This window comes from Homo sapiens, chromosome 8 (assembly GCF_000001405.40).
Source record: "Homo sapiens chromosome 8, GRCh38.p14 Primary Assembly".
In the NCBI taxonomy this organism is placed as follows: domain Eukaryota; kingdom Metazoa; phylum Chordata; class Mammalia; order Primates; family Hominidae; genus Homo; species Homo sapiens.
The window spans coordinates 89,798,583-89,811,933 of record NC_000008.11 but is presented as its reverse complement, the minus strand read 5'-3'; the positions used below and the strand labels follow the sequence as shown (position 1 = coordinate 89,811,933).

The 13,351-nt window shown below is 41.0% G+C and overlaps 1 annotated feature.

The window, feature by feature from the left end:
- Positions 4,986–5,186: a silencer, noted in NCBI's record as "peak7103 fragment used in MPRA reporter construct". NCBI's record gives its function as "represses an SCP1 promoter by STARR-seq MPRAs in K562 erythroleukemia cells {active_cell/tissue: K562}" and the evidence as "EXISTENCE:reporter gene assay evidence [ECO:0000049][PMID:32103011]".

The following is a 13,351-nucleotide window of genomic DNA, read 5'->3' as shown; positions in this document are numbered from 1 at the left end:
ACAGGATGGAACGTTCGAGACCAGCCTGGCCAACTTGGCAAAACCCTGTCTCTACTAAAGATACAAGAATTAGCCAGGTGTGGTGGCATGTACCTGTGGTCCCAGTTACTTGGGGTACTGAGGCATGAGAATCAGTTGAACCCAGGAGGCAGAGGTTGCAGTGAGCCCAGATTGTGCCACTGCACTCCAGCCTGGGTGGCAGAGTGACACTCTGTCTCAAAATCAATCAATCAATCAATCAGTCATGCAAAAATACAACATCAACAGGATGGAACGTTATTTCTGATTAGTAAAGTGCAGGAAAATGAATCCATGATACATCAATCTATTTATATTCTTTCTGTACAATCAGAACACCTGATCATTTAAGCCACATGTTTACTCTCTAATCACATCATAAATCAGAACTATGCATTTTTTGAAAGATAACTGAAAGCTTCACAGAGTAAATACATTACATATGCCACTTGGTTTTTTAAGAACAGCTATTAGAAATTCCCCAAAGAAAAGTACCATTTGTACTTTTCTCTCTGTTCAAGCAATCAAAAAGTTATGCTACTATGATTGGTAATTGATAGAAATAGTCAAATTTCCTTCTTCTGGGGGAAAATCCAGTCATGCTGCCTCTGCTCCATCTAGCTTGAGTTGGGCATTAGCTGAGTCAGATTGCAGTCTTGTGTCCACAAGAGAGTTCTTTGATTAGTGAAGTGGAGTTTTCTTTGGAGGGCTGACCTGAGAAAAGCACAGGTTCTGCCCATGATATGATTGGAAAGCCCAGAACATTGTATCTAATTGCTCATTTTTTTTTTTAATAAAACAGGGTACATGGAATCTTGCATCTATTCTTAGGGTGAAGGAGTGAGAGAGAGGGGTTGTGGTTTGGGACAGGAAGAAAAAAGAAAGAAAAGGGGATCTGATTTTTCCATATGGGAAATAGTTACGGTTAGTGAAGGGTTTTACCAGTGTGAAGAACAGCAACTGTGAAATTCTTTCCTTAGGAATCTGAAGCCTTCTTCTCTTACCTGGCGGATGATGCACTGGCCTTCTTGTTTTCTGGAGCTTCAGCTCAGTCTTAGTCCTACTGGTGGACTTCTAGAAGCCTAACTCCTTTAATGGCTGCCAAATCGGACTGTTACTTGAGGACTCTGAAGTGCATTAGTGCTATTCTCTAATGATTATTTTACACATGCACAAGAGATATCAGCAAAGAAAGGGAGGCTCTTTAAATCACTTCAGTTGAAGCCTTTTATTTTTTGCCTTCTGGTAAAGGAATATTAATTATTAAATAATTCATCTGAAAACGTTAGAAATAATAGGTTTGATTATATCTCTCCATGAAGAAGCTACTAATTTCATCCCTGTGCAAGAGTTTACCATTTTAAGAGCAGTATTATGTTATTGACGCATGGCCAGCTTAAATATTGTTGAAGAGCATTCTTTTCAAAGCATCATATTTTTCTATTACAAAACAAATATCTATTCATTGCAGAAACAAATTTAAGTACAGATAGTTTAAAAGGTTAAAATGAAATGATCATGGTCTCAACATCTAGAGACTGTTACTAAATTTTTTGTATATGCTACACATAGTACATATATAATTTATAAATTTTGAATCATAGTGAATATGTTTTTTGGAAACTCCCACTTTTCACTAAATATATTCTGCTCACTTTTTAATGACATTAGATATTTTTCTATAATTCCATGTTAAGGATGTATAGATAGTTATTATGTAGGTGTATTAGTCCATTCTCATGCTGCTAATAAAGACATATCTGAGACTGGGTAATTTATAAAGGAAAGAGGTTTAATTGACTCACCATTCAGCATGGCTGGGGAGGCTTCAGGAAACTTACAATCATGATGGAAGGAGAAGCAAACAAGTCCTTCACATGGTGGCAAGAAGGAGAAGAAAGAGTATCAAGCGAAGGGGGAAGGCCCTTATAAAACCCTTAGATCTCGTGAGAACTTACTATCACTACAATAGCATGGGGGTAACTGCCCCCATGATTGAATTATCTCCCACCAGGTCCCTCCCACGACACATGGGGCATATGGGAACTACAATTTGATATGAGATTTGGGTGGAGACACAACCAAACCACATCATTTTGCTCCTGGCCCCTCCCAGATCTCATGTCCTCACATTCCAAAGCACAATTATGCCCTTCCAACAGTCCCTCAGAGTCTTAACTTTTTCTAGCATTAACTCAAAAGTCCAAGTTCAAAGTCTCATCTGAGACAAGGCAAGTCCCTTCCGCCTATGAGCCTGTAAAATCACAAACCAGTTAGTTACTTCCTAGACACAATGGAGGTACAGGTATTGGGTAAATGCACCCATTCCAAATGGGAGAAATTGGCCAAAACAAAGGAGTTACAGGTCCCATGCAAGTCTGAAATCCAAAGAGGCAGTAATTAAATCTTAAAGCTCCAAAATAATCTCCTTTGACTCTATGTCTCACATCCAGGTCATGCTGATGTAAGAGATGGGCTCCCATGGCCTTGGGTGGCTCTGCACCTGTGGCTTTGCAAGGTACAGCCCACTCCTGGCTGCTTTTGTGGGCTGGCATTGAGTGTCTTTGGCTTTTCCAGGTGCACGGTGCAAGCTGTCAGTGGGTCTACCATTCTAGGGTCTGGAGGACAGTGGCCCTCTTCTCACATTTCCTCTAGGCAGTGCCCCAGTGGGGACTCTGTGTGGGGGTGCCGACCCCACATTTCCCTTCCTCACTGCCCTGGCAGAGCTTCTCCATGAGAGCTCCCCAACTGCAGCAAACTTCTGCCTGGACATCCAGGCCTTTCCATACATCCTATGAAATCTAGGCAGATGTTCCCAAACCTCAATTACTGACTTTTGCACACCTGCAGGCCCAACACCACATGAAGGCTGCCAAGACTTGGGGCTTGCACCCTCTGAAGCCACAGCTTGAGCTGTGCCTTGGCCCCTCTTAGACATGGCTAGAGAAGCTGGAACTCAGAGCATCAAGTCCCAAGGCTGCACACAGCACGGGGGCCCTGAACCCAGCTCAGGAAATCATTTTTCCTGCCTAGGCATCTGGGCCTGTGATGGGAGGGGCTGCCATGAAGGTCTCTGACATGCCCTGGAGATATTTTCCATGTTGTCCTGTTGATTAACATTTGGCTTCTTATTACTTATGCAAATTTCTGCAGCCAGCTTGAATTTCTCCCCAGAAAATGGGTTTTCTTTTCTGCTGCATCGTCAGGCTGCAAATTTTCCAAACTTTTATGCTCTGTCACCTCTTGAATGATTTGCTGCTTAGGAATTTCTTCTACCATATACTCTAAAACATCTCTCTCAAGTTTAAAGTTCCACAAATCTCTAGGGCACTGGCAAAATGCTGTCAGTCTTTTTGCTAAAGCATAAAAAGAGTCACCTTTGCTCCAGTTCCTAAAAAGTTCCTCATCTCCATCTGAGACCACCTCAGCCTGGACTTTATTGTCCATATCACTATCAGCATTTTGGTCAAAGCTGTTCAACAAATCTCTAGGAAGTTCCAAACTTTCCCAAATCTTGTCTTCTGAGCCCTCCAAGTCTCTGGGAAGTTCTAAAGTTTCTCACATTCTCCTGTCTTCTTCTGAGCCCTCAAAACTGTTTCAGCCTCGCCTGTTACCCAGTTCCGAAGTTGTTTCCACATTTGCAGGTATCTTTATAGCAGTGCCCTGCTCCTGGTACAAATTTACCGTATTAGTCTGTTTTCATGCTGCTAATAAAGACATACCAGAGACTGGGTCATTTACAAAAGAAAAAGGTTTAATTGACAATTAAGAATGGCTGGGGAGGCCTCAGGAAACTTACAATCATGGCATCATAAGACACCTCTTCACAGGGTGGCAGGAGAGAGAATCGGTGCCGAGTGCCGTGGAAGCCCCTTATAAAACCATCAGATCAGGTGAGAGCTTACTCACTATCACAAGAATAGCACGGGAGTAACTGCCCCACGATTCGATTATTTCCCAGTGGTTCCCTCCCATGACACATGGGGATTATGGGAACTACAATTCAAGATGAGATTTCGGTGGGGACAGTCAAACCATATCAGTAGGTATGCCATAATGTATTTAACAATATTCAAGACATATCAATTGAGCACATTTGTGATAGGTATTCTGCTAGGCTTATAGAAAGTTTGGGTATGGTGGCTTACATTTTAATCTTAGCACTTTAGGTGGCTGAGGCCGGGTTTGGGAGTGAAAAGACATCACTGGAGTCCAGGAGGTTGAGGCTGCAATAAGCTATGATTGCACCACTTCATTCCAGTCTGGGCGGCATAGTGAGAACCTGTCTCTAAAAAGAGCTTACAAGCTCGTGGGGGATAGGGACAAATAGCAGGCAGTTGCAAGATAGGGGGTTAAAACTATGATAGGGAGTGGGTGTTTTAGTTTTCTGTTGCTGCTACAACAAATTACCACACACTTAGTGTCTTAAAACAATACAAATTTCTTCTCTTCCAGTTCTGGAGACCAAAAGTCCAAAATCAGTTTCACTGGGCGAAAGTCAAGGTCGGCAGGGCTGGTTGTTCCTTTTGGAGGTTCTGAGGTGATAATCAGTTTCCTTGACTTTTCAGGGTCTAGAGCTGCATTCCTGGCATTATTTTTGGCTTCTGGACCCTTTCTCCATCTTAAAGACAGCAGCATAGCATCTTTAAATTTTTCTTTGTTTCCTTGATTGTATGCTTTCTTTCAACTGTAATAAAATGTCCCTCTCCCTCACTCTTTAAGAACACTTGTCATTACATTTAGGATGCACTTGAAAAAGCCAGGATCATCTCCCTATTTCAAGATTTTGCCAAAAAGCAAAATCCCTTTTGTCATATAAAGTAAAATTCACAGGTTTCAAGGTTTAGGATTTCGATACCCTTGACAGCTATTACTTAGTGGGGGGTAGAGAGCTAGTGGGGGCCCATGGAAAGAAACCCACACCCCAGGGTCAGGAAGGCGGGGTGCAATGGTAGACGTCAGAGGTGACCTTTCAGAAAAAGTCTTGATTAGTTGGAAAGGGAAAGGGAAGAAAGGTCTTATTAAAGTTGTAGGAGCCAGAAAAAGCTGAGGTCCAGAGGACAGCTGGAGTTTATGGGAACTGCTGATAGGTTGAGTGAGTCAAATTCGATAAGAAGGATTTAGGGAAAGGAGAGAAAGAAAAGAAAAGCAGAGGCTGGGTGCCGTGGCTCACGCCTGTAATCCCAACACTTTGGGAGGCCAAGGTGGGTGGATTACTTGAGACCAGGAGTTCGACACCAGCCCAGCCAACATGGTGAAACCCCGTCTCCACTAAAAACACAAAAATTAGCTGGGCATGGTAGCGGGCACCTGTAATCCCAGCTATTCAGGAGGCTGGGGCAGGAGAATCGCTTGAATTTGTCAGGGGAGTTGTGGGGGGCGGAGGTTGCAGTGAGCTGAGATCATGCCACTGAACTCCAGCGTGGGTGACAGAGTGAAACTCTGTCTCAAAAAAAAAAAAAAAAAAAAAAAGGGGGAAAGCAGAAGTCAGAATTTGAAGGGCTTTGTGTCCTGGGGGCAATAGAAAATTATCAAAGGGTTTTAAAAGCAGGATGGACAGACCCAGCTTGTGCTGTAGAGAGATATCCTTGGTTCTAGAGTGGAAAGTGTATTGGAAAAAAAAAGTGGTCATTCATTCATTCAAATTCAATAAATATTTTTTCAAACTACTAGAAAATGCTAGGTCCTAAAAGTATTTAGAATAAGTCATACATGGTTCCCACTTACCCTTATAGAACTTTTTCTATAAGGAGATAAAGCAAACAGACAATAAATGTTTAAACCAAATATTTACACTTCGAGATATGGTTAAAAAAAAAAAAGGAATACTTTGGTGATGTTAGAGAAGGTGACTGGGCACCTACTTTAGATATGGTCCTAGGGAAGGTCATGGCTGAAAAAATGAGGTTTGAACTGGGATTTGAAGAAGTCAGGAGAAGATCCCTGTCAAGAAATCCCATTTGTGAAAGGCAGAGCAAGGATGCCAGTGAGCCCCAGAGGAGCCAGAGAGGAGGGTGAAGTGACATGAGATTAGAGAGATCAGCAGATTCCTACAGGCTTTTCTTCTAAGTATAATGAGAAGTCACGGAAGTATAGTAAGCCAGAGGGTGACTTGGATGGATTTGCTATTAATACTAGATGAATGTTTAAGTGGATGCAGTTATCTGATAAAGCGATGCTGTTGATCAGAAGTAAGGTAGTGCAGTGGGGATGGAAAAAGTTGTTACAGGAAAGGTGTCTGGATCCAGACCCCAAGAGAGGGTTCTTGTATTTCATGCAAAAAAGAATTCAGGGAGAATCCATAGAGTAAAGTGAAAGCAAGTTTATTAAGAAAGTAAAGAAATAAGAGAATGGATACTCCTAGACAGAGCCACCCTGAGGGCTGCTGGTTGTCCATTTTTGATTATATGCTAAACAAGGGGTGGATTATTTATGCCTCCCCTTTTAGACCATATAGGGCAACTTCCTGACGTTGCTATGGCATCTGTAAACTGTCATGGCGCTGGTGGGAGTGTGGCTGTGAGGGCAACCAGAGGTCACTCTCATCATCGCCTTGGTTTGTGGTTTTTAGCCGGCTTCTTTACTGCAAATTGTTTTATCAGCACGGTCTTTATGACCCGTATTTTGTGCCAACCTCCTATCTCATCTTGTGACTTAGAATGCCTTAACCATCTGGGAATGCGGCCCAGTAGGTCTCAGCCTCATTTTACCCAGCTCCTATTCAAGATACGGTTGCTCTGGTTCACATGCCCCTGACATTGCTACACTGAAAACAAAAATATTTTGGAGGTAGAATCAATAGGACTTGTGATTAACTGGATATGGATAGTGGGGGATTTGAGCATAGAGAGAGAAGGAAGTGAGGGACAAAAGATTGAAGTTCGTCTGGACAGATGGTGTTATTATTTGCTGAGAAAGGAAACATAAGAAGGAAATCAAGTTTGGGATGTATGTTGCAGTGAGGAATGAAAAGGTCAGCTTTGGAATGTGGAGATTGCTGTGGAGCATGCCAGTTGGCAGGTCTGGTATGAAGTGAATCTCAGGTAAGGGCTGACTTTAGGAGTACTGATGTCTAGATGACAATAAGACCACGCAGGGGAATGAGGTGGATCCGGGAAAGGGTTTGGAGTAAGAATGTGAGGCCCAGACTGAACCTGAGTAAGAAGAATAAACACCTAAAGCCCCTAACCAGAAGACCAAGACATAGGAGGAAAAGCAGGAATGTCTGGTGTCACAAAAGGGAAGAGAACCATTAGAAAAGGAGAGGGCACTCAGCCACATCACATAGGAAGAGGACTGAAAAGCTTCCCCTGGATTTAGAAACCAGAAGGGTGTGTTAATCACTTTTGGGAAGAGCAATTTCAATGGAGTGGTTCAGACAGAAGCCAGATTAAATGGACTGAGGAGTGAATCAAGTGACTGAGGAAGTGTAAAAGTGAGAATTGCTATAGACAGCTCTCTCAAGAAGTCTGGCCATAATTAAGTTATTGGTGGGAATGTAAATTGATACCAACTCTTAGGGGAGAATTTGCCAATATTCACTAACATTTAAAATGTTCATAATCTTTGATCCCAGTAGTTCAATTTCTAGACCTGTGCCATAATACTTAAAAAGTATGGGCTGGGCATGGTGGCTCATGCCTGTAATCCCAGTACTTTGGAAGGCCGAGGTGGGTGGATCACCTGAGATCAGGAGTTTGAGACCAGCTTGGCCAACACAGTGAAACCCCGTCTCTATGAAAAATACAAAAAATTAGCTGGGTGTCGTGGCACGTGCCTGTAATCCCAGCTACTCAGGAGGCTGAAACAGGAGAATTGCTTGAACCTGGGAGGAGAAGGTTGCAGTGAGCCAAGATCGTGCCACTGCATGACAGCCTGGGCAACAAGAGCAAAACCCTGTCTCAAAAATAATAATAATAATAATAAGTATGCACATATATGTCAAATTTACACTATGTTCTGGATGGTATTGCCTAGGTTTTCTTCTAGGGTTTTTATGGTTTGGGGTGTTACATTTAAGTCTTTAATCCATCTCGAGTTAATCTTTGTATAAGGTGTAAGGAAGGGGTCCAGTTTCTGTTTTCTCCATATGGCTAGCCAGTTTTTCCAGCACCATTTATTAAATAGGGAATACTTTCCCCATTTCTTGTTTTTGTCAGGTTTGTCAAAGATCGGGTGGTTGTAGATGTGTGGTGTTATTTCTGAGGGCTCTGTTCTGTTCCATTGGTCTACATATCTGTTTTGGCACCAGTACCATGCTGTTTTGGTTACTGTAGCCTTGTAGTATAGTTTGAAGTCAGACACAGGGAGGGGAACATCACACACCAGGGTCTGTCCGGGGGTGGAAGGCAAGGGGAGGGAAAGCATTAGAACAAATACCTAATGCCTGTGGGGCTTAAAATCTAGATGATGGTTTGATAGGTGCAGAAAACCACCATGGCACATGTATACCTATGTAACAAACCTGCACATTCTGCACGTGTATCCCAGAACTTAAAGTAAAATTTTTAAAAAAATTATATAAATTAATTTAAATTTATATTTTATATAAATTCATTTACATATAAATGAATAACATATACACCATACCTATTCATATTTTTTCTAATAGCAGAAAGTCAGGAAAATTAAAACGTTCATCAAGAGGAAATAGATTAAATATTGGTACATCAATATAATGAAGCACCACATAATAGTTTAAAAAATAATATAATTTACATGTAATGACATATAAATATGTAAGAAGCAAATTCCAAAACAGAATGTGTAATTAGTTTACAGAAAAACAAAATCTGGAAACCTAATCACTAGACTGTGAATTTAGAAAGCAGTGAGGTAAAAAGGAGAAAAAATCCTCTCTGTTATGAAAAGAGGAAAGAGAAAGACAGAAGTAGACAGAAAGGGCTGACTTTATTTTATTTATTTATTTATTTTATGAGAAACTCTCGGCAGGCTTAAGTGTTTCTAGAAGGAAACTTTCTAAGGGAATGGTTGGAGTGAAGTGAGAGGGAGAGTCATCTAACAAGCTAGAGGAGAAATGCAGAAACAAAGGATTATTCTTAGTAGGAGAAGGGGTAATTCTGCCAGCATAATATGAGAATAAAAAGACAAAAATACAAATATGATTTAGTTAATAAGAATTGTGTTTATTCTTTATTTAATAGTATTGAGGGTCATTTATAATATCTTAGATTATTTGAAATTTTTATGTTGTTTTAAACTTTTTGTTGTATTAAGCCAGCATTTCTCAAAGTATCACCCAGAGACGCTGTGACCTTTCAGGGAATCTGCTAGGTCAAACCTATTTCCATAATAATTCTGAGATGTTATTGCATTTATTACTCCCATACTCTCACAGGTGAACAGTGGAGTTTTCCAGAGGCTACATGACATGTGATTTTGCAACAGATTGAATGCAGATATGAAAACCCAGTTCTCTTCTATTTACTTACTTTTTTAAACATTCAAAGAGATATGCAAAAATGTAAAATAACATGGTTCTTCTCATCAACTGTTTTTCACTTTGGATGTTTTAAATGAATTAATATATTCTTGACTTCTCAGTTTTAATTTCTAGTGGCAAATAAGGATTGATATAACCCCCAAAAGCAAAATCTCTTTTGGTTTCTCAATAGTTTTTAAGCAATGCCTCAGTGACCATCATCATGGCTTAATCTTTACACACACCTATGATTATTTCCTTAGAATAAATTCTTGGATATTGAATTCGTGTAATCCCCTGATGGGTTCTTCCTGCCAGTTGCACAGACAAAACCATTTCACTGAGACTGCAGTATTGCAGTAGAGAAAGAGTTTAATTAACGTGGAGCTAGCCAAATGGAAGGGCTGGAGTTATTACTCATATCAGTCTCACGAAGAACTCAGAGGCTAGGGTTTTTATGGATAATTTGGTGGGCAGGGGGATAGGGAATGGGTGCTGCTGATTGGGTGAGAATGAAATCATAGGGGTGTGGAAAATGGTGCTTGTGTGCTGTATCTGCCTCTGAGTGAGAGCAGTAGAACCGGTTGAGTCATGAGTCATGGGTTTGGGTGGGATCAGTCAGTTGCCAGAATGCAAAAATCTGAAAAACATCTCAAAAGACCAACCTCAGGTTCTACAGCAGTGACACTATCTTTAGGAGCAAGTGGGGAAGTCACAAATCTTGTGACCTCTGGCCACATGACTCCACTCCTGAGCAGTAAGGGAACATAGAAACTATGCCTACATTTTAGCAGAATTCAGATCCCTCCCACAATCCTATGTCATAAACGTTCATTAGTTTTACAAAGGCAGCTTTGGTCTCTGAGCAAGGCAGGGATCAGTTTTAGGGAAGGACTATTATGATCCTTGTTTCAAAATTAAACTATATACTAAGATTTTCCCATGATTAGCTTGGTCTATGCCCAGGAATGAGTGAAGACAGCCAGCCTGTGAGACTAGAAGCAAGAGGGCATGAGTCATGCTAGCGTTCTCTCACTGTCATAATATTTGCAAAGGTGTTTTCATTGATGGGTCAAAAAGTGCAAAGGTTTGAGGAGACAGGGCAACCAAATGTAATGTGGTATTATAGAGGCCAGGGGAAAACTTCCCCTTTGCCCTCTGAAGGTTTGCTGAAATCAATTGATGAAAGGCAGAAAAGGCATACAAATGTATTAATGTGGTGGAATCACAAAGGGATTCCCCCAATCTTCCAATGGGTACAGCTTATATACCCTTTTTCATAGGGGAGGGAAGCGCTGGGGGATATAGACAATTCTTTGAGGGGCAGTAAATGACTATTAGGGAGAATGGACGGACCAGGGAACAGTAATTAACTTGTAAAGGATTTTCTCTGGAATTTTCTCTGAGCTCCAGTGGCAGGAATTATCTTCTTAAAAACAAGTCTGTCCAGGTGTGGTTGCATTCTTGTCTTTTTTCTGCAATAGATAATGCCATTTTAGGAAGCAGATAGAAGGCAATTTTTTTTTTTTTGTAAGAGACTTTTTTGAACAGATGAGGAAACTCCAGAGAGAGTCCCTTCCTGTCCTGGGAGGTGAAGTGGGCTGGGGAAACAACACAAGGTTAGACAGGACCTTGTTTCTGGGGCCTTTCAATTTTCAAAAGCACTCAGCATGCCCAAGCCCCACAGGCTGGGGAATCATTTTCCACACCTCATCAGCATCCTGGATGGGATCTTGGAGCAGAAAAAAGACATTAGGCGAGTCTCGCTCTGTTGCCCAGGCTGGAGTGCAATGGTGTGATCTCAGCTCACTACAATCTCTGCCTCCTGAGTTCAAACAATTCTCTTGCCTCAGCCACCCAAGTAGCTGGGATTGCCTGATTAACTTTTTTTTTTTTTTTTGTATTTTTAGTAGAGATGGGGTTTACCATGTTGGCCAGGCTGGTCTCAAACTCCTGGTCTCAAGTGATTAGCCTACCACAGCCTCCCAAAGTGTTGGGACTACAGGCGTGAGCCACCATGCCTGACTCAGAATCTAGTTTAAACAGAGTTGATTCAAGTGCAAAGTTTGAAGCCGGGCTTCTTGGGAAGCACAGATTCTAAAGAATGGAAGTCAGTGTTCCAAAGTATAGAAGTTTTCACTCATATTCACAAAGTTTAGGGAAGTTTAGCAGAATATCAACACCTTCCTATGTTAGGCTTAATGTATAGTTACAATGATCTGATTTGTTGAGGTGGTATTTTTCTTTCAGGAAAGGCACGTCAAGCTGAAACAGTCAAACGGATCAGAATCAAGTTATAAAGAGTTTATTAAAGTGAAAAGCTGGGAATGGCTATTTAAAAGACACAGACTCCAGAGAAATGGGGTCAGGGCTCTGAAGTTAAAGGTTCTTATATAGACAGAAAATAGAGTAGGATTATATATAACATTTTCTATACAAAGCTTGTTTTTGAGTTATAAACATTTAATTAGTTATAGTTCATTTTGTTTTCCATACAGCTTGTTTTCATGTCCTTTCCAATTTAAAAGAGTATTTTTAATATTCCATCTGAAGACAATGTGATAACCATAAAGCCTTTTTGTGAGAAAGATAAGAGGAAGTTAATCTATAATAAAGATCAACAGGGAAGAGGGAAGGGGTCTTCCCTGGTGCCCTTTAGTAATATATAACATTTTAGAAAACAATGTAGGTGAGGAAGGCTAATCTATAATCAGAGCAAGAAAGGTTACAGCTGCCTGTCACATGACTCAGTCCCCATAACCTCACATTTCTTTAAGGTTCAAAGTAATTTAGAGTTCCAACAGCTTGGATTTCCAATTACCTATTTTCAGAGGTATATTTAACATTTCACACTGAGAATCTAATAGTTATGGGGTCTTTTGCACCATCTGGTCTGAGTTAGGTATTGAACAATAAAGGAGGCAGTTAATCTATAACAAAGATCAGTAATTGCAAGTGGAGAAAGGTCTGGTCTCTAGTCTCTTCTAGTCATTTACAGAACAAGAACAATGAGCAAGAGAGTTAATCTATAATCTAATTGCAAACATGCTTCATGACTCAGTCTCCAGAGCTTAATTTCCCCCTTGGCATGATAAATTTAGAGGGTTCTGAGATTTTTTATTTTATATTATCAATAGTAGTTCATTAATTTTAACAAATACACTATACTCATGGAAGATGTCAATAGTAGGGGGAACTGGGTGCAGAGTATATGGGAACTTTCTACACTAGCTTTTCAATCTTTCAAGAAATCATGAACTATTCTAAAAAATTAAGTATATTTTTAAAAATGAAGTATCTTAGTGTCCTAGGACTATCATTAACATATTACCGTAAACTTGGTGGCCTAAAATAATAGAAATTTATTCTCTCACAGTTCAGGAGGTCTGTAGTCCAAAATCAAGGTGTTGGCAGGGCCACACGCCCTCTGAAGGCTAGAGGGGTAAAAGTCCTTTGCCTTTTCCTTTTCCAGCTTTTGGTGATTCCAGGCATTCTTTGGCATGTGGCTGTGCCATTCCTATCTCTGCCTCTGCCTTCCATGGCCTTTTCTTTTGTCTGTGTCTTCTCTCCTTTTTTTCTTTTCCTTTTTTTTGAGACAGTGTCTCACTCTGTTGCCCAGACTGGAGTGCAGTGGTGTGATCTCAACTCACTGCAGCCTCTGCCTCTTGGGTTCAAGAAATTCTTCTGCCTCAGCCTCCTGGGTAGCTGAGACTACAGGTGCCCGCTGCCACGCCTGGCTAATTTTTGTATTTTTAGTAGAGATGGGATTTCTCCGTGTTGGCCAGGCTGGTCTCAAACTCCTGGCCTCAAGTGACCTGCCTGCATTGGCCTCCCAAAGTGCTGGGATTACAGGCGTGAGCCACCATGCCCAGCCCTCTTCTTATAAGGACA